General features: G+C 35.0%; 1 protein-coding gene and 1 pseudogene across 1 annotated transcript in view, besides 2 other annotated features; one reads left to right on the top strand and one right to left on the bottom strand.

Moving 5' to 3' along the window:
• Positions 1 to 22,366, bottom strand: part of TLL1 (tolloid like 1) — a 231,221-nt gene that overhangs the window by 46,096 nt on the left and 162,759 nt on the right. Inside the window, exons 10-14 of the mRNA NM_012464.5 lie at positions 18,921 to 19,023; positions 16,219 to 16,335; positions 14,943 to 15,088; positions 3,091 to 3,286; positions 1,053 to 1,178 (exon numbers count right to left, since the gene is read on the bottom strand). Coding sequence (NP_036596.3) covers positions 1,053 to 1,178; positions 3,091 to 3,286; positions 14,943 to 15,088; positions 16,219 to 16,335; positions 18,921 to 19,023 — 688 coding nt within the window. The remainder of the gene's footprint in view (positions 1 to 1,052; positions 1,179 to 3,090; positions 3,287 to 14,942; positions 15,089 to 16,218; positions 16,336 to 18,920; positions 19,024 to 22,366) is intronic.
• Positions 5,075 to 5,175, top strand: RNA5SP170 (RNA, 5S ribosomal pseudogene 170; annotated as a pseudogene).
• Positions 12,716 to 12,775: an enhancer, noted in NCBI's record as "active region_22120". NCBI's record gives its function as "activates an Ori minimal core promoter by ATAC-STARR-seq in GM12878 lymphoblastoid cells {active_cell/tissue: GM12878}" and the evidence as "EXISTENCE:reporter gene assay evidence [ECO:0000049][PMID:35858748]".
• Positions 14,531 to 15,730: an enhancer, noted in NCBI's record as "BRD4-independent group 4 enhancer chr4:166963784-166964983 (GRCh37/hg19 assembly coordinates)". NCBI's record gives its function as "activates an origin of replication core promoter dependent on BRD2, P300/CBP, MED14 and CDK7 cofactors, and independent of BRD4, by STARR-seq in HCT116 cells {active_cell/tissue: HCT116}" and the evidence as "EXISTENCE:reporter gene assay evidence [ECO:0000049][PMID:35650434]".

Genomic DNA, 22,366 nt, shown 5'->3' with positions numbered 1-22,366 from the left:
CAGGACTTCTCATTTTAATAAGGGAGATATACCTAAAGACTATATTAAGAAAAAGATAAAAACAAATGATGGATAGACAGATGGATGGATGGAGAAATGGAGGGATGAATAGATATATAGATGGGTGGATGAAAATCTGATCTAGATAGAGACAGAAATAGATCTAGATATAGTAACATACATATACATGGTGGCCTGGTATGAGAGATGGATGAATGAATGATGGTAGGATGGATAGATAAAAATCTAGATCTAGACAGAGATATCTACAGATACATTAATATGTACAAACACAGTGGCCTGGTGAATGGATGGATGGATGAAAGGAGGGATGGATATAAATCTAGGTCTAGATGTAGATTTATATATAGATGAATCTAGATAGAAACAAGTATAGATACATTTATTTATATATGTGTGAAATGGTTTGGCTGTGTCCCCACCCAAATCTCATCTTGAATGACAGCTCCCATAATTCCCACATGTCATGGGAGGGACCTGGTGGGAGGTAACTGAATCATGGTTGGGGGGAGTCTTTTCCATGCTGTTCTCACGATAGTGAGAAAGTCTTACGAAATCTGATGATTTTACAAAAAGGAGTCCCCTGCACATGCTTTCTGGCTCGCTGCCATATACGACGTGCCTTTGCTCTTCTTTTGTCTTCTCCCATTATCGTGAGGCCTCACCAGCCATGTGGAACTGTGAGTCCATTAAATCTCTTTCTATTACAAATTACCCAGTCTTGGGTATGTTTTCATTAGCATAATAAATATGCTAATGTGTCTGTATTAGCAGCGTGAGAATGGACTAATATGGTGTGTTATACATATATAAACAAGGTGGCCTGGTAATCAAAGGAGGAAAGGACCCATTCTATAACAAGAATTCAGGTAAGGTTTCACATCAGCTGTGACTGTGAATTGAGTCTTACTAATTGAGGAAAGAGGTCACTATAGGAAAAAGGGAAAGAAAGAGGAAGACAGACAGAGAATGAGAATATAAGAAATAAATAATTGTGGGGGGTGGGGGTCCAGGAAGGAGTGCAGTCATACCTTCACAGCTCCTTCTGTCTGGGCCCAGCTCATAGCCAGGCTCACAGGCACACTGGTAACTGCCCAGAGTGTTCAGACATCGCTGCTCACAGCCTCCACGGTCAGGTTTGGCACACTCATCTTCCTCTATGAAAATGGTCATAGTTATAGAACAACTATACATATATATGTGTGTATGTATGTGAAATGGTTTGGCTGTGTCCCCACCCAAATCTCACCTTGAATGATATCTCCCAAAATTCTCACGTGTCATGAGAGGGACCTGGTGAGAGGTAACTGAATCATGGTTGGGGGTTCTTTTCCATGCTATTCTTATATATATATATGAGGGCGTAAATCTTTCTAAAAAACTACCATGCTTAATGGTTCCAAATAAAATGGAAACAATTCATTTCTTCCATTGCTTCTATCAGCAAAGGAGCAGGAACAACGTATAAGCCCCTGATGGATAACGTATACAAATTCATGTTGCTGCTAACTGAGCATTGTCAAAAAACCCACAGAAGGCCTGGAAACCTATTGCTGGGCCAACTGAAGATCACCTTATCTCAGACACAGTGTGTGTTTTTCTGAATTTGAAGTCAAATGAGGATAATGAAGCCTAGCCTTTTTTCAGAATGAAATTTAAAAACTTACTAAAAAGCATAGCTTCAGCAATGCTAATTTTACATTATAGCTTAATAGATATATCAGCAAAAATTCTTTTAAAGAAATATCATTATTAAGAAATAGATTGTGGTGAACATAAATTAAAAGGTATAAAACTCAGAAATTGACTGGATCTCTTTAAATTTAAAACATTGTGTTTCTTATATAGACATTTTGCTCCAGAAAATATGATAACCCCATTTTAATAAATATACATACTGTATAATTGTATATTGAAACCCAAAATATACATAAAGTATATATATACAATATATAATATTTTTTAAAATGTATATGACAGGATACTCCATAATCTCACTCTTCAGGAATAACCTCATGTGAGTTAGACAAATAGTAAACATCCTCTGAAGAAATTATGCATCAGCAAGACACTTGATTTTGATAAGTAAATATATGAATATCACATGAAAGAAGCTTGATAGCATGTTTCTTCTATGAAATATATCACATACAGAAAATTTCAAACATGTAAATGGAGATTTTAATGAATTCTTTTAATACCTGTAGTAAAAGTGCCAAGCTTTTCTATCTTTCATTTCATATGATGAATAAAATAGCTTCCAGGGAAAATCCATTACACTGATCTTCTTTAAATTATGACAATATTTACATATCTATCACTCTAAGTTTTGCAATACACAATCGAATCCTTTATCCTATCCTATATCATTTATCCTATAAAATCAATATGGAGGAAAATTTTGTTTTCTCTTCCCATAGAAAAATTTTATTCTATAATGACACACAACATAAGTGTCAATGAATTTCCTAAATGCATATGTGATGTTAATATTTTCACCAAAATATTTGCTTTCCTTTCACCTCACAATACATACAAAATATGGGACATAAGAATAAACTGAAATGTAGTTATGCATTTCAAAATCAAAGCTGATCAGAGATAATTATCTGTCAAAAAGACATTTGAGATACCAGAATATTCTGCTAAGGAGGTCATAAATTATTTTCAATGTGGGGGAATACTAGTCTGAAAGGGAGTAATGCTGGCACCTGGAAACAAATAGATAAACTTCATGTCAGTAACCTTCTTCTGTTCATGAATTCTTGGTTGGTTATTTTCATTGCAAATATTTTCTTTCTGTCTGTATATCCTTTTCTGGAACTTGCTGTTTTGACCATTTCATAAAAAACAGATGGTAGAATATCCTAATGGAATTCCTATCCTGTGCTATGAAGTTCTAAACTCTAGTATTTTATTAATAACCTTTTCTATCGAAACTCTCCAAAATATCCTTATTCATATTCAACTTTCAATACAACTTTCTCTAGTTCTCCCCTAAATCAAAGCTAAACACTACAAGTATCCTTGATAAAGAAAATCTCACGTTTGAAAATTATTTCAAATTACCTTTAAAAAAGTTAGCAGCAAACCCTGCTTTGTTCACAGTTCCGTCAGAAACAAACTTCATCCACAAAGTATTGGAGGTAGATCTTATGTCTTCAGGTTTGTCATAACCACAGAAACGCCCTATCAAAGGGCTATTTTCACTGGTTCCATCTCTAACTTCCAGGTAGTCATAAGCACAATTGTCATGTCTTTCAATCTGCAACAGAAAAAAATATGTGAAAATATATGTTTATAGATAAAACATTTTATATAGGAGGATAGATGTCTTCTCAGTGCCATACTTCTGATTTGTTAATATAAAAGTTATTTGTATCAAATGAGTGTACTTGAATGTTTCTCATGAACGTACACTGTAATATCCATGAACAAAGGATGTTATTCTGGTAGACAGGGAAGGATAAAAAATAACTATGAAACAGTACATCCACATGAGTCAGGATCAGCAGAAATTAGTTGTCTTTTAAAAGAAAATTAAACTACAAGTAGAAATTCTTCATTCAATAGAGGCTGAAAAAAATCCAAAATTAAAAATTATCACTAAAAATCTGGGCCTGATACACTGCTGCAAGTAATATATAACTTCTTCTGAATCATAGTTATAAAAATTGCTGCATATTCTCACTCATAGGTGGGAATTGAACAATGAGATCACATGGACTCAGGAAGGGGAACATCACACTGTGAGGACTGTGGTGGGGTGGGGGGAGGGAGGAGGGATAGCATTGGGAGATATACCTAATGCTAGATGACGAGTTAGTGGGTGCAGCGCACCAGCATGGCACATGTATACATATGTAACTAACCTGCGCAATGTGCACATGTACCCTAAAACTTAAAGTATAATAAAAAAAAATTGCTCCATAGTCTTTCAATAAAATCATTATTGTATTCATAGAAGATTTGGATTCAAATACTCTGAACAAATGTAGCACTATTTTTGGTTATAAATCTCTTTTTGAAACGAAAATCTGATAATATGGGATTACTGTTCTTCCTCAGTCTATTGAATTCTTTCTCCATAATTAACCTGGCTGTGTAGAGAAAGACTACTATATAGTAGAATCAACAGTGGTTTTCCCTTTCCCAAGGAAATATGGCCTTGTTTGGATGAGGCTTTTTATCTCAACACACTCCTCTCAGCCCAGATAATCAGGGGAAACTCAATCTCTTTCCTTAACAAATGAATGCAAATATCAGGTGAGACTATTGGCCTATGACACTTTATGGGGAACTATATGTTCATGGACCCATGTTTCAGCCCTGAACTTCTGAAAACAAACCAACAAAAAAAAACAAAATTTATAAATTGTTTTAAAAATTGTAAGACAATTTTTATGTAAAATTCTTGTTTTTCACCTTTCACAGAAGTTGACCACTAGAACTAAAGTCTTCAAAGAGTCAACTGCTTATTAGGTATTTAAAAGTAGAAAGCAGAGATATCTACAATTAAAACACCAAGAAAAGTATCAAATGTTGTCAATATCACTCAACATACAATTCGTTAATTTATGGAACTCTGTTACTAGTGTTAAGGAATACGTAGAATGTCAAGGAATATCGGGGAATGTCCATGGAACTGCAACTTGAACGCATGAAACTGCCAGTATAGTTGGTAGAAAAATATGTTTTCTGCCTTATCAAAACACTAACAATAATAGTCTTCAAATGAGGTAGTATAAAGACAAACAAAAAAAATACACTTTGAAGCACAGATTTAGTTAGAACTAGGTACTACATTTGCTGCTTCCTAGTCACAAAATACTCAGTGCCTACTCTCCACTAGGCACTCTCTCTGCTTGGTATGCATCATTCAGAAAAATATCAAATAACCTTGCCCTCCTGGTGCTTGCATTCTACTGATGAGTAGCCAGAAAAGCAACAATAAACAAAATAAATAATTAAATCATAAAATATTAGAAAGTCATAAATTCAATGGAAAAATAGAAAGCGTAGCAAGATAAGAAGTGTGAGAAGATGGCTATGGCCTTACCACCCTGAAGTTTCCTGATATAATCTGATCTCAGAAATTAATTAAGAACAGGTCTAGTTAGTAACTGGATGAGAGATGTATGAGAAATTGGGTGGGGGAGAGAAGGCTGTGATTTTAAGGTAGGTGCTCATTGGATACTTTTCATAAATCCATATTTTTCCTAAAAATAAATTATTTTTGTGAGTGTACAATTATGGGAATAAATGGAAAATATTTATATAAAGAATATCTAATTTTAAAAGCACATTTTAAAAACTAACTCAATTGGTCACCAGGGGTGACAAGCCCAATTTGGCCAAATATATATATATATATACACATAACCTCTTATCTCAGTCTTTAATTTAATCCCTTCAAAATCAGGGTTCTCTATAAATATGAGAACATTTCCAGATGGCCAAAGGCTGTTCTTGGTCAAGGGGACAATACAGAAAATAATATCTCAGATTTCAAGTTATAGAGTTTGATAACAGAATAAATGACAAAACTGTAGACAAAATAACCAAAGTCTTGGCAAACCAAACTATCCTCCCCTGCTAAAGCAGCACAGAATGAACTGCTCCTGATTCACCAATCCTATTGGAAGAGGGGGAGAAAGAATGAGATAGAAAACCACAAGAATTGAGAATACACAATGAAGGAAGCAACATCTTGTAGTAGAAGGTCCATTAATAAAAATAATATTATGACCAGGCACGGTGGCTCACACCTGTAATCCCAGGACTTTGGGAGGTCTTAGCAGGTGGATCACATGGTCAGGAGTTCAAGACCAGCCTGGCCAAGGTGGTGAAACCCTGTCTCTACTAAAAATACAAAACAATTAGCTGGGCATGGTGGCAGGCACCTGTAATCCCAGCTACTTGGGAGTCTGAGGCAGAGAATTGCTTGAACCCAGGAGGTGGAGGTTGCAGTGAGCCAAGATCGTGCCACTGCACTCCAGCCTGGGCAACAGACTGAGACTCCATCACAAAATAAAATAAATTTAAAAAAGATAATATTACATTGCTTCATATTAGAAATCAGGCTAGTGTAAAAATTAAAAATGTTAATTAAAAAGGGTTTTAATTACTATTTTAAGAAGATTATTATTAAAAATTATGGTACAAACAAGGAAGACAACATAGTTCCTATTGAAAATGAAACTCAAAATTTCAGATTTCTTCAATGATTAAAAAGAAATAGGATAATTTATATATTGCCTGGTCTATAAAACTCACTCTATTCCTTTAATAGATATACAATCATTCACTTTACATTTTAATTTACAGTGTATTCACTGGTTACTTAGTAAAAATTGTAATTTTAAATATTTTATATGATACACAAAGAGTAAATATTTCACAGGTAAAAATAGCTAATTATAGGGTTAAATTCACTAGTACATATTTATGCATTACATATTATTTACATATTAAATATGTACCTGGTATTTGGGGCAACAGCATTCTCACACAGTGAATGCCACAGATTTTGAGTTGCCTAGAAAATAATATGTGCCTCATCTACATGAATTTATGATATTTGGAAATACATTATATCTTTACAACAACAATTCTAGATATCTCGTCAATTACCTGAATGGTCTTCAGTTACTTATTTTTCCAGTTTAATCCTAAATGCAAGGCTTGCACAATGAATTTACTCCATTTGTACTAATCATAATTATACTTCATCAGCTACATCAACACGAGTGATAACAATGAGCACAAATGAATATTTGAGTTACTTTATTTGTGTCATTTGTGTAACATTTTCTTGAGCTACATCAAATTACTTCATCAATTAATATATGGAATGGATAGAAATAAATATGATTGAAACTAAAATGTGAATCAAGTCCATCGATGTCATGCCAGTAAGTTTAAGCTTCATCAGTAAAAGAACACCAAAGGCGATGATTTATAGAAAGAATGAAAAAGAAACAAAGAAAAGAAAGGAAAGAAAGAGGAAGGAAAGAAGGAAGGAAGGAAGGAAGGAAGGAAAGGAGGGAGGGAAGAAAGAAGGGAGGGAGGGAGGGAGGAGAAAAAAGAAAAAAGAGAAAAAAGAAAAGAGAAAGAGCAGTTTCTTTTTGAGTTAAAGCATGGATACAGTTCAGATAACTGGGAGCTGAACTCAATGTCTTGTATAATTAAACACACAATAAACATATAATAAATAAAGATGATGCCGATTTCTTACACACTTTAAGGTAAGCAGAGCATAAACCATGTATTAATATGACAAGTTTATCATAATGTAAACAGACCTAATATCTTCATAGAGAATATAGGGAAAGTGATAGTAAGCTCTGAACAATTTTCAGAAAACTAGTAAGTAAATGATATCAGAAGTAGAGCCAAATACACAAAGAAGGAAGAACATGTACAAAGACTAGTCAGAAGGGATTCATAGTACATTTCACTACTGAGGGTTCATATCTTTAATGCAGAATGAAGACGAACCATAGAAAAAGTAAGTGATTTCTATTTAGCAACAACTAAAATAAATTTAACCAAAAGTGGTCAACCTCTCATTCTAAACCTGCCAACCTGTACAGAGTTTAGTGGTCAGTGCATGTGGGTGAGCTCTGGCACTGAAGGAAAGCCAGCCCTGGAGGTAGGGGTCATGGCCAGGCTTGGGACACACTCACATGCTTGCCTTCATTTGATAACCAAATTTCCAAATCAATATACCATTGCACAAATATCTATTGCAGTATCTAGTTATTTATAAAAATCTCTGAAAACTTAGAAATTTCTAGATAATAATTTTTAGTAAAAGGTATCCCATGCTCCCTAAAAAATAAAAAATAGAATTACCATATGATCTAGCAATACCACTTCTGGGTAAATACCCCAAAGAATTGAAAGCACAGTCTTGTAGAGATATTTGCATACTTACGTTCATAGCAGCATTTTCACAATAGCCAAAAAGTGGAAGCAATCCACAGGTTCATTGATAGATGAATGGATAAATAAAATGTGGTATACACATACAATGGAATATTATTCCACCTTAAAAAGGGGTACTTAAAATTCTCTAATTCATAGAGACAGAAAGAATGGAGGTTGCCATAAGGAATTAGGGGAAGGAGGAAAAAAATAGGGTGTTTTTGTGTGATGGGATAGTGTTTCGGCTTTGCAAGATGAAGAGTTCTGGAAATTGCTTGAACATTTTGAATCTACTTAACACTACTGAACTGTACACTTAACAACTGGTTAAGATGGAAAATTTTATGTTATGTATATTTTGCTTTAATCAAATATAGCTCTCATGACTGTTACAATGTAGCTTTAAAACATAGCTAATGTAATCAGATATAATTAATGCAATCTAAATGATGCAACTTGTATAGATAGTATTATTTTAAATGATATACGCTTGGAGCAATGTTAAAGCTGTTTATGCTTTGGGGGAAAATGTTAAATAAAACTCTGATTAATAAAAACAATGCAAATGAGCATTTATCATTAAAAATTAAAAATAATTTTTATAATGAGAAAAATCTAGTAAAGTCTAGGAAATAATAGTATAAACAAAAGGAACATTGAATAAAAAGGTGAAAAGTTTAAAACATAATTATTTTAAATTATATTATCTTATTTATTTAATAATATTTATTAGTAGTAATATTTAAAATTAAGTTGACACAACACATGAATAATTACAGCTCAAAAAAAAGTTCAAACATGTTAAAAGCAACATCATAGGTCTTGCTTAGGTTTATTTTCATGTGAATGATTTAACTGCTGCCACTTCATTTTTTTCTTCATGATTCAAGTATTTTTTGATTACTCATAAATTTAATAATTTTATTGTAAACCTGCTATGGCCAAATAATATTCACTTGACAGTATGTGAACAGTGGTGAATAAAACAGACATGCCTCTGATGGACTGACACATAATGATTAAACAACAAAAATGTGTAAGTGAAGATAGTTACAAAAGGAAAGATTTGAATGCCGTAATATTATATCAATAGAATACTGACGCTTCTCTTTACTACTAGACCTGGTGACATAAATGCACAGAGCCAGGGCTTGGTTTCGATCATAGTGCTACCAGTTGTGCAACCTTGGGCAAGTTGATTGAAACTAACAAGTGCTAATCTTTCAGACACAAGGATAGCCTAGACCGTAATTCATGAAGAGCTGCATAACTCCTCTGTTTTATAGTCATTACTAAAATATATTCTCAGCTAAGTTCCCAGAAACAGTACATGGCAAGCAGAAAATCCTTAACTAATTAAAACCTCCTTATCTCGGCTTTTTAGTTCACTCACAAAGACTAGTCTACTTATCATTAAATTAATAAAAAATATTTAAAGGATTTAGAGGATTACTTTTAGACAAGCAATCTACCAAGTACCAAGATAAAAACTTATGCACATAGTTTAGAATGTTTCAGCTCGCAGCTGTGGTGGTTAACGGTATTAATCAGCTCTGGTTTTCATAAGGAAAGTATCACCAAATCAGAATGTGTAGTAATGTTGACAAGTACCTCAAACTTAATACCGTTTGAACTAATGTACGTGGTAATTTCAATTTAAACACAAGTAAGCTCCAGGTTTATTTCACTTCTTTTCTGCTTTGGTGACATTCCTTTGAAGTTGTTACTGTAAACATTTCCAGCCTTCCAAACTTTTTCTCTTTTGTATTTCTTCTTACTGAAAATTCTCAAATAAAATAATAGTACTAGAAGCTTCTTTACAAATGACTCTGCTGCTAAATAGAGAACAAGCTTTCCAAATTACTTTCAGAGGGAATCTATATTCATATACAAACTCACTTCAGTATACTGGTCTTAAAAAATAATGTATCCAATAACTACCAGAGGAGAGAAAACTTCCTGTATTAGTCCATTCCAGATGCTATGAGAAAATATCATAGATAGGGTGGTTTACAAACCACGAAATTTATTTCCATAGTTTTCAAGGCTGGAAGTTCAAGGTTAAGGCACTAGCAGATTCAGTGTCTGGTGAGGGCCCTCTTCATAAGCGTTGCCTTTTCATTTTGCCCTCACATGGTAGAAGCTCCCTAGGCCTTTTTTTTTTTTTTTTTTTCCGAGACGGAATTTCGCTCTTGTTGCCCAGGCTAGAGTGCAGTGGCACGATCCTGGCTCACTGCAAACTCTGCCTCCCAGGTTCAAGCGATTCTCCTGCCTCAGCCTCTTGAGTAGCTGGGATTACGGGCGCCCACCACCACGCCCAGCTAATTTTGTATTTCTAGTAGAGACGGGGTTTCACCATGTTGGTCAGGCTGGTCTTGAACTCCTGACCTCAGGTGATCCGCCTGCCTAGGCCTCCCAAAGTGCTGAGATTACAGGCATGAGCCACAGCACCTAGCCCCTAGGCCTCTTTTATAGGAGCACTGATTCATTCATGAGGGCTCCACTCTCATGACTAATCATGTCCCAAAGACCCCACTGCTAATACCATCACCTTTAGAATCAGTGTTTCACCATATAAATTTTGGGTAGACACAAACATCCAGACCACATCACTTCCCAAATGGTATAATTACAGAGGCATCAAGATTCTATTACCTGCCAAATAGTGTTCCTTCCTGCTCAAAGATTCCTGAAACTCATTCACAAAGACACATAAACTTTATTTGAGCACTTTCATGAAAATGCAAATGGCACTGGCAAAGGTAAAGCCATGACATAAATTCACATAGAAGCATGAATGATGGACAGCTAAGAAGTTCTTTAAAGTAGATTTCAACAGCATGATGGACAAGTTTATCTTCATGGTCCTTATATCTGAAGAATAATAATATAATATAATATATTATTAATTATATATTATATTAGTTACTATAAAGAATAATAAATGAGGCCAGGTGCGGTGGCTCATACCTGTAATCCCAGCACTTTGGGAGGCCAAGGAGGGCAGATCACGAATTCAGGAGATCGAGACCATCCTGGCTAACATGGTGAAACCCTGTCTCTACTAAAAATACAAAAAATTAGCCAGGCACAGTGGCACACGCCTGTAGTCCCAGCTACTCGGGAGGCTGAGGCAGGAGAATCGCTTGAACCTGGGAGGTGGAGGTTGCAGTGAACCGAGATCGCGCCACTGCCTTGCAGTCTGGGCGAAACAGAGCAAGACTCCATCTCAAAAAAAAAAGAATAATAAACAAAAATATAAACAGTTTTTGAAACAAGGCAAAGACTAGAATCAGTGAATAAAAACTGTACTTTATCAGGTAAAATCATATAATATTGAAAATTTATGAAAACATTTTGATTATACATTTTCAACATAAATATGTATAAAATGTATAATACCCATATTGAAAACATATGTAAACAAAAAAATTGATATAAACAGATAATTGACTAAATTAAACAACCACCTAATGACTATTAGAACAAATAAGAAAATATATAAAGCTGATTCTTGATATTCATGCTAGTTACATTCTATTAAGTTGCTCGGAATACTGAACTGGCAAGTACTGATTCATTGCTCCTAGGGTTACAGTTCCTGTGAGATTCTAGTCACAACATTTTGTTTTGTGCGTTTCTGTTTAAAGACGCATTAATACAGGTTGCCCATTTATTAATACTGAACTCTTACCCAACAGCCCTATATATACACCATACATGTCTGAACGAAGATAATCTGACACACGTGTTTTCTCAGTAAGGCACATCACAGCTGGCAATGGGCACATTAGGTGACTCAAAATTTGCTGCTGTGTACATGTCTGTGAATGACCTAGAAGGCACTGCAAATATTAATTTTAGGCTTCCAAAATTTTAGTAAATAAGCAGATTTGCAAACAAAATCAGGATCAAATGTACCTGGGTTTTAATGCTCTTTTAGTACTCACCAGTGTGATACTAGGTTAGCGGCATAAACTCAGTTTCCTTGCCTAGAAGATTTAGATGTCTATTAGGCACCTTTAAATCCTGTGACTTGTGAATTTCTTGAAACTCAGCGTCTCTAGTCTAAAGTCAGTCTAACTTCACCATACCAGGTACTCCATAATCTAAATCTTTCTTATGTATCCAGGCTTGTTTCCCTCTGCATGGAAACTTACATGCCTTTAATAAAGGATATATTCATTTTCATCTGCCAACCATCACACATTCATACATTGACTTACATATAATCCATCCATCCATTTTTCTCATCTATTACCCAACATTAATCTCACAAACAATGTTGCTGGAGATAAAATGATCAGAGACACAGGTAAAATCCTAACAAAATGATCAGAGACACAGGTAAGATCCCAATCCGTTGGTGGACATATTCTAGTGAGAGAGACAGATAATAAACATGTACATAAAGAGATATGCAGCATAAATTCTGGTAGTTGGAAGTGCAATTTACTAAAAATAAAACAGAGTGATGATTTAGAGGTAATTGTAGGTAAGAAAGTATTTTAAGTAGTGTTATCAGCCAAGAACTTTTTAAGAAGGCAGTAATTAAGCAGAGATCCAAATAAAGTAATAGGAGAGTAAAAGCAAAGATCTGAGGCAGCGGAACATCAGTGGTAAATGCTGTGATGTGGGAGTGAGGTTGGTGTTTCTGAGAAAGAGAAAGAGGGCGAGACGAGCTGACACAGAGGGAGTGAGGAGGAGCCAAAGACCAATCAAAAGTACCGTGGCCCATGATAATCGAGTCTAGATGTTATTTTAGGTGTGATGGAAATCCCCTGTCAGTAGCGCAGTGTCATAATCTAACGTACATTGTAAAAGCATCACTCTGGTTTTGAGGTGAAGAACGGGATATGCAGAGCAAGAGTAGAGACCTGAGGTTCTTCCTGTGAGTTCCAAGCAAAGGGGTGATGATGAGAACAGTGGTGGTGTAAAGTCATCGTGTATGAGGTATAGTTTGAAGACAAAGCAACTGATATATGCTGATAGATTGGCTGCAGGGCTTAAGAGAAAAGGTAGAATTAAGGATGTTCCTTGGGTAAGCGGTGACAAAAAGTACTGAAATAGTACTGACATAAATAGAAGAAGAGTGGGTTTAGTAAGTAAAATAAAATAAGCAAGGGTTCGGTTTTGGTCATGTAAAGACAAGAGATCTACCAGATATCAAAATATGTCTAACATATAAATGAGGGAGGCAGAAACATATAGAAATAAAGTAATATGAAGATAGGACAGGAAACTAGAGACAATAAATAAAATGTACTCTCAGCCATTCTATGACATGACTTTTCCCAGGTCATAAACTGTAGTCATCACTGATTCATTCATTCAGTAAACAAGTATTTATTAAGCAACTACTGTGTGTCAGGCATGGTTCTAAGTGCCTGAGGTGCATATCTTTTCCATTTGTCCTTATGTTATCTTATTTTTGAAGACTGTCACTGCTATTGCATTGATAAATAAAAAAATAAACTACAAATCAACTAAGGTAGCAACTTCATGCATCAGTTTTCAGGCTGATGGAATGAATGCATTTTCTGACATCATGTCTATAATAGAATTCCACAAAAAAACTGAATTACATATTAAAAGACAGTTAATCTCTTAATTCTTGAAATATCACAAAACAGCAAACACAGACATTGGGTGGATAATTTTTATGAGCCTTTTTTTTGTCTAAATCATGGGTGAAATTTTTCTACTCAATTTTAATTAACTATCAACAATAAACCGGTCTATTTGAACAGTATTTGCAAACCTATTAGTCCATTAAATTAACAAAGTTCAACTGTCAATCAAATAATGGCAAAACCAGTTTCCAAAAGTACAAAAAAAAAATGGTCTGGAGCATAAAATACAACATAATGATTAAAGTAGAAAGTATATATTTTTTTGGTAACAAAAGGAAATACATCTGGGAAGTTAAATGGTACATGCAAGGGGACAGAGACAAGTACTGAAGAAATAGAATTTACAGGCTTCCAGATGAGGATGAGAGATTCTCTGGCTTTACTGGCAATCCCTGGATTCTCCTGGTGCTCCTGCTGCAGGTACAGACACACAACCATGACCACGGTCACTGCCCTCAGTAAGTAGTGTTCATAGTGCTCATTACTACCCACTGGGTAGTAGGGCTCATGACTACCTTCTGATCACTTAGTGAATTAGTCTTCCAATCAGTAAAGACTCCATCTCCAATCATGTATCTAAATTTCTAACCCTGGTTGGGACCTACCACCTGCATCTCATTGTTCTTCTCCACTTCAGCTTGGGCTCTCAATTACTAGACCAACTCTGATTTAAACATACTCTGGAGTTCCTGAGAAATTCCTCTATTTCTTGGCTTTAAATGTTTAACTCAGTCCCTTTCAACCCACAAAAATGACTCACGGGCCAGCGTGTTAGTTCTGGACCCAGACTTTGATCCAAAAATTCTGATTGGCCTTTGGTTTCTTCTGACCCGTCATCTAATAACACAACGATGCTGCTGATCTCCCTGATGAATATTTTTAACGAGGTTGAAAGCTCGTAAGAACACTTAAAATCCCTATTTTTGATATAAACAATTATCTGTGTTATGGTAAAAAAAAAAAAGGTGAAAAATGTTTTGTTCCTCTTACAAAAAAGACTTTCTACCTTTTAATCTCTTAGTTTAGAAGAGAAATAAAAGTTCTATTACTTAATGGACACTCTTGTGAAATAAGCCTGTGCATTTGTCAAAAGAAACTATTGTCAGTACTTCAAACATTCTAATTCAAATAGCACAGATAATGTAAACTCACTTTAATCTTCTTGAAAACGTCTCCAAACGAGGAAAGAAGAAAAAAAACCCTTTTGCTCTTGATGTTGCATTTTATGAGCGATCCTTTGCTTCTTTGCTGATTAAAAGGCTGACTCTCTGTTTCTTTGCTGATTTAATGAGGATTCTCTTAAATGCCATTGTCGTTTATGGAGAATATTTGCCAGGAAGATAGCCTAAAAGACTTTACCTCAAAGGACTGAAAGGTCAGCCCGACGTGGTAGCTCTCAGACACTGTTATTTTCCACACACATTCTTTCATCGGGCGATAGTCATCAGGATAATTGGGAGACTGAATCTGTCCTTCATTTTTACGTATCTCACCTCCACAGATCGCTGAAGAAAGCCAAAAAATAAACAAATAACTAAGCCTGGACATGCTATTTCATTTTCATTTTCTTCTAGGGTAACATTGAAGTTCAGCTCCTGTAGCTCAGTACATAAAGACCAGGCTATAAAAATCAAAGTTGACTGGTTGTAATGTAGCAAATATTTATGTGGTAAAAAAAACCTAGTAAAGTAACTACAAATATTAGATAATGGTCAAGGAATAAATAATTTTTAATCCTATCTTAACGAAAAGGTATTTTTTAACCTTTAAAAACCTTTAGTGGCTTTGTGAATTTATTCTCTGTGAGTTTGTTCTGTGATTCTCTGAGCTGCTTCCTTTGGTCTTTCGACCACAGGTAAAATAGCTCATCAGAAGAGGAGCCTCATCCTGAACAGAACTCACTGGGTCTCTGGCAGCGAGTTAGTGTCATGTGCGCAGCGTCCGTGACTCCCTCCAAATAATCCTCTTCACTACTAGGCAGTTAATCCTTAAAACAAAATGCTTCCGTTTACTTAAAAGTTTAAGGGAAGCAGAAATCTTCTGTCTTCAAAATTACTTAAACTGCTGTACTAGGAAGTGTCTCCTCCACCCACAACCTGGCAAGAAAGGAGCTGGTTTTAAAGCCAAGAAAGCACAATGCCAGTTTATTGTTTTAGAGAAGCATAAAACAAAGCATTTAATAAGTCCTTCCTCAAATGCTGACTCTCTTATTTAGATAAAGCATGCCTCAGAAATCGGCACAATTACTTTCTGTGCAATTTCCTCTAATAAAAAGTATTTCGGGAATACAGGGACCAAACAGACACAAAATCAGTACAAAGGAAAATGATAATTTCTTCATAATGTTTTAAAACTATCATGAAACAATTAAACTTTAAGAATTCTTGAGCCATTTGCTTTTTTCTCCACACATCCTGAACACATTTAGATATTATTACATCACTGATACTAGACAACAGGTTGTTCTTGCAATTTAAATTTACTGTTAAAATTATCTGTATGAATATTATAATACAGATTCAGAAAAATTCATAATTTTACAATATGGTCACAATGTCATTGTAATGAAATTAAGAAACGAACATTTCTGTTGAGATATAAGATGAACTACTCTCTAAAATTCAATGTGACTTACCTTCATAGACAGCTGCAAAGCCTTTTCCTACCCAATTACTGCTGCTACGAAACTCAATCCACATTCTGCTGTCTGTAGAAGTAAGAACTTCAGGCAATTTGTCCCCACAGAATCTACCTAAAAGAAATAAAAGAATAAAGAGAAACTCCTAAATAGGACTCTATATTCTACGTTCTTTTTGTACTAGTCACAAATAATATGTAAACACCGATTTGGTTCACATTTCTATTCCAAGTGATTGCAGCCACAACTGTGCCTTAAATTTACTTACTAATGGTAGATAAACAAAACAATGTCTTCATATATATTTATAAAGTATTTGACCATCAGCCTCAGAGTAGCTGACTGATGTCAGTATTGTTACCATATGTAGAAGTAAGATGGTTACTCAAAAACAATATTTGAAAAAGGTCAAATGATGCATCAAGGTGGGGAATATTATTTAATGGGGAACAGAAAAAAGGTGCAAGTCACCCTAAGAAAGTGGTTTCAAATTGTCAACCTGGCCAATAGCAGGGAAATGACTTGGTTAAGAATGTGCTCTCGGCCAGGCACAGTGGCTCACGCCTGTAATCCCAGGACTTTGGGAGGCCGAGGTGGGTGGATCATAAGGTCAAGAAATCGAGACCATCTTGGACAATATGGTGAAACCCTGTCTCTACTAAAAATACAAAAATTAGCTGGGCGTAGTGGCACGTGCCTATAGTCCCAGCTACTCGGAAGGCTGAGGCAGGAGAATCGCTTGAGTCCGAGAGGCAGAGGTTGCAGTGAGCCGAGATGGCACCACTGCACTCCAGCCTGGCGACAGAGCAAGACTCCATTTCAAAAAAAAAAAAAAAGAAAGAAAGAAAGAAAGAATGTGCTCTCAGCTCAAAGTGGAGTTCTTTATTCACCTAGGTTCAACAGCACTCCTGAGGAAAACCCCAAGGCTACTCTTGGTATCTTTTATCACTGCACACATTCCATCTCATCTATAAAGCTATAATCTGTAGATTATATCTGTTTAGGCAGAATAACAAATACTATCAGAAGACTTGAGCATAATTTCTAATTTCTTCTAATTCTGTATCCAGAAATATGAATTACAGCAAATAAATATAATACCTGTCATTCCTTCCTTCCTTATCTTTCCACAAATATTTATGCTTATGTCTGCCTCTATGCTCAAAGCTTTCACATGATCACAAAATGCTTAAATATAACAAAGCACATGCAATAATTCTACAAACATGTTATCCATTTTTGTGTCTCTGGAAATGGCATACATAGTTTTAGTGTATGAAAAATGTAGCTGACTTGCATAAAGCAAGTTCATACTAACAGCTAACAGGTGAAGACATATTGTCCTAAATTGCAAAGCAAATTAGAGGCAGATAACACAGAGCAGTGTGTTTTAAACTGTAGTGTGCATCTGAATTTCTAGGAAATCTATTAAAATGCAAACCCTAATTCAGAGGATATAGAGTGAGAGCCAAGTTTCTACAATTCTAACAGCTTTCCAGATGATTTTGATGCTACCAATCTAAGTGCTGCACTTTTTGGAGCAAGGTCTTAGAAGAAATAGTAAGGAAAGCTTTTCACACAAAAACCATGATTACACTGCCTCACTCTGGTGGTCCATTATACATTGAGCCATGTAATGCTGATGGTGCTCTAAAAAGAAGTGTCGTTCAGAATTTTAGCTCTAGATTTGTTTCTCTAATATGAGTTTAATGAAATATTTTCTTTGGCTTGTGCATACATATGTAAAAAATTGCTTCATCTAGGCTAAGAAACTAAATATGGAAGACAATGTTTTCCTCAACCTGACTTACCACATTAGTTCAATTCTTTATTTTTAAATATTTCTACAGATCTCTTGGATTTACTATGGCTGCTGTCACTTTTAATACAATTGTGCCCATTCAGTAGGTGTTAGATGTTAAAAGAGCTGTACAGTTCATCAATGCAACTGAGCAAAACTACTTCTAAAAGTAAAGAAAAAGTTACAATCTCAGAAAAAGATCAATATAGAGTAGATGCCTGCATGCTCCAAACAGCTCTCACCTTTAAGTAAAACAGAGGGCAACAGTAAACTGCCTATGCAAGTTAATAGTGTGGTCTGTGGTTAAACGTTGACAGCAGACTTTCATGAGCACCAGATCTGAGCTACAGTTTATGACACAAACTACAAATGTCTCTTCTCAGCCACAGAAAACTCTCTGAGAAGCAAAATTGTGACATCTATAATATAATAAGAGTTAATATGCTTGGCATAGGAAGCCAGCTACCAAACATGTACCTAACAGTTTACATTATACTGGCTTAGCAACAAAACAAAAACAAAACACACAAACACACAACATGAACACCCACAATTAGTTTTTTTTAATCAAAAACTGATTTTTAAAGCAAAAATACAGAAACACTGTGAGGAGTACTCATGATAGGCACAATATATGAGAAAGCTATTCTCAATCATTATATTCAAATCCTAGTATGTACCTCATAAGTTAAGCTAGCTCAAATTAATTAATCAGTCAATGTATTTATCCATTTGTCTTTGAGTATTTTTGGTATGGTTGAAAAAAGTATAACTAACATAAAAATAATGTTAGTCACACACATTTTTAACTCTACGATGACTCTTGAGAGAATCGGTTGGTTTTTTTGGACGGGACAGAATAGATACATAGCCACATAAAAGGGAAAGGATATCTTACCAAGGAGAGGTGATTTTCTCCAGTACCCGTCTCTTACTTCAATATAGTCATACCAGCACAAACTACTCTTGTATAGATCCATCGTTGTAAAATTTAAAACAATCTGCAAAATGGAGGTAAGCAACCCACAGAGTAAAAATGATTGTATCTACATATAGTGATTTGATTCCTAAAGGTAAGGAACCCTGGTCTACAGTAAAAATGCATGTGCAGCTAATTGTTTTTCTATACTATAATTATCCTAATAGTTTTTTTCTGAACCAAACCTTGAAACCATGTTTTCCCATTTTCTTTAACTGTTTTACAATGTCAGGAGAAGTACAATATGAGTAGTTGAACAAACTAGATATGTTAGCAATTAACAAAAAGTTTCTGTAAAGTTAATCTGGACAATTGTAAAGCAAACAGAAATTTTTATTCAAATAGTTTATTTTGAATTTTCCCAAGATAAACATGGCTTGAGCCATGAAGAATTCTATTTTTTTCATGAAAGTCTTTTAAAAAATAATTTATTTCAAAAATGACCAGTCAGACATCTATAATTATGTTAAAAATAACCACCATGTGCCACTTTCCCAGAACATATAATATCATTGTGCATGTTGAAATGTTTTAAATACAGTCCTAGAATTAGAATTTGTCCATCTAATGATAATCAAAGGCAGATGTCACTATGTTTCTCTAGATCCAAAGATGTATATACAAAGACCTTTCAAGTTACAGCATCTTGTACATGACCCTTATTCTGTGCTTTGTTTCAAAATGATGCTGTTGCGTAAAGATAACTCAAGAGACAATTCTAGGAAAGACAACTTTCTTACTGCTTTATAAATGGACTTTACTTTCCAAACAACTTTTTTCTTCTTACTTGATTACACCAAAAGTAAAGCCAAACTTACGCGAGAAGTATGCTTATCTGATGCAAAGGAATTCATCTGGTTTTTTTTTTTTCACATTCAAAAACTCATTCTAACTCTATTCTGCTTAAAACATCTGAGATGCTTAAGGCTCATAGTAAGCCAGTTCTCTACTCTAGAAATTGTGATGGACTTTGGCCAAAAGCAACAAATGTTGAGTATTCCAAATGCTCCTACTACAAAACTATAGTTTGTAGCAATATTCAAAAATCCCTTTTGTGAAAATACAAAAGGCTGAATGTGAAAGAAGTCTCAAGGAATAACAAAGGAAGGAAGAAAAAAAGAAGAAAGAAAGGCAGAGAAGGAGAGAGGAAGGAAAGAAAGAAGGAAAATAAAAACATAATCAATACTGAATCCATATTCTAGAGAAGTATTACCAATTCTGTGCTGGAAAGTATATGCTTCTCCCCTTTCTTGAACACAATATTTAACATCAAGGTAAGCACTAATTATTACAAATCAATGCTGAATGAACTTACTTCTTTCCCAAATGACACAGGATAACTATAAATATTTCTCAGGGCATCTCATATCTAGGTACCACAGTGATCAGTGATGAAACTGTACACCAAAGTTGGTTTCAAATATCCATATAGACTAACATGTACTTTCCTAGTAACAAAGAAAGAAATCTGCCAAGGATAAGAAAATAGGGGTGGAATTTTTTAAAAATGTAGTACATTAAGTTGTGGAATAAGTTTTTTTTTTTTTAATTGGAGACAGAGTTTCACTCTTGTCACCCAGGCTGGAGTGCAGTGGAGCAGTATCAGCTCACTGCAACCTCTGCCTTCCGGGTTGAAGCGATTCTCATCCCTCAGCCTCCTGAGTAGCTGGGATTACAGGTGCCCGCCACCACGTCCAGCTAATTTTTGTATTTTTAGTAGAGACAGAGTTTCACCATGTTGGCCAGGCTGGTTTTGAACTCCTGACCTCAGGTGATCCACCAGCCTCAGCCTCCCAAACTCTGGGATTGCAGGCATGAGCCACCGTGCCTGGCCATAAATTGGTTTTAATAGAATTGTTCATTTATTTTTATCTTCCCTCTTTGCAGTTTATCTTTTTTCTGTTTTTCTTTTTCTTCACCTCATTGTAAGGTTCCACTTTTTAAGTGTTTACAAAAATTTTCAAAATATCCAAAGGCAAAGCATTGATCATTTTTACCAATAATCCTCAACACTTGATTATCAAAATGCTTTAGTATCTAATTTATTTTTATGAATTTCCCACAATATTTTCTCCTACATCTCTAAATACCAACGCAACATTAGACTATATTCAGGATATAACTAGGAAATAATACCTGGTTTTTCCCTTTAACTTTGTGTTTACTTTAAGTCTGCTCCACATGGAGAATACTATCACTGCCTGATACTATGTTTCATTTTGCATTTATGTTTTCCCTATAGCAACCACCAAGGTTTCAACTCTATATGATTACATAAGAACTCATTTATTAAAACAGAGACAGCAAAACTTGAATATAGACACAAACAGAGACTCCCCCAGGGCTCACGTTCTGGCTTCCCTCTTAGATTGAAAGGGTAGTTTTATAATGATATGCAAATAGCTTCTACTGCCTTCTTCATGAGGAAAAAAAATAAAGCTAAATTAGAAGTATGTGTATTATCAATTTCATCCAAAATTAAAAAGTGCATTTGGATTGCAAAGAAATAGTTAATATTTGCTCTCTTGAAACACACACACACACACACACACACACACACACACACACACAGTTGGATAGGGATAACTCTAAGCAGAAAATTTTTCTAACTTGTTTTTAATCTTCTAGTTTAAACACCAAGCACCATGGAGGAACATAACTGGCCTGACATTAACATAAAACACAGAGTCCTTTAAAAGCAGAAAATGTAATAAAGATAGGTTTTCTAAAATCAAATCATAGGGCTCTGATTATAGACATAAAATTCTGGCCTTTGACTAAGGTTGCTAGCAGGATTCGTACTTGAATAACAAATCAAACACACTTGGAAAATATCTGCTTGTTTTACATTATGTTATTTTACGTGAACATATTGCATCTTTCCCCAAAGAATGATCAAATGAAAAATACAAAACACAACTATATAAATATTTTATTTTTGACGTAAGTATAAGTAACAACTCAAAATTAATTATAGCTCCCTTGGAGTATGAGATTGAGGGAACAATTTTAAGATTTCCTGTGATCTGTTAGGAGTCTAAGTTGCAACGTTGAATAGATGTCACTGCTGCCAATTGTGCTTATTAAAGACTGTTTTCCAATGCTGGAGAGTGAAGAATCCTGAAGAAAGGCAGATCAGCAGTTCAAGGGACTGGGTGTCTGTGAGTCTCCAGAGAAAGATATAATCAATGAACTTTTTTCAGCACAATTAAGATATTATTGGCTACCTAAACAAATTCCATGAGCACCACAAAAAAAGCCAATTAGCGTAATACTTGCACCATACCTTATAAGGCTGAAGATACAGAATGTACAAACCTTGCCAATTAGACTGAAAAAGCAGCAAGATAAACTAGATTGCTATG

Source organism: Homo sapiens, chromosome 4, assembly GCF_000001405.40.
Source record: "Homo sapiens chromosome 4, GRCh38.p14 Primary Assembly".
Lineage (NCBI taxonomy): Eukaryota > Metazoa > Chordata > Mammalia > Primates > Hominidae > Homo > Homo sapiens.
Note: the sequence above shows the minus strand (reverse complement) of the source record. Positions and strands in the feature narration are given on the sequence as shown.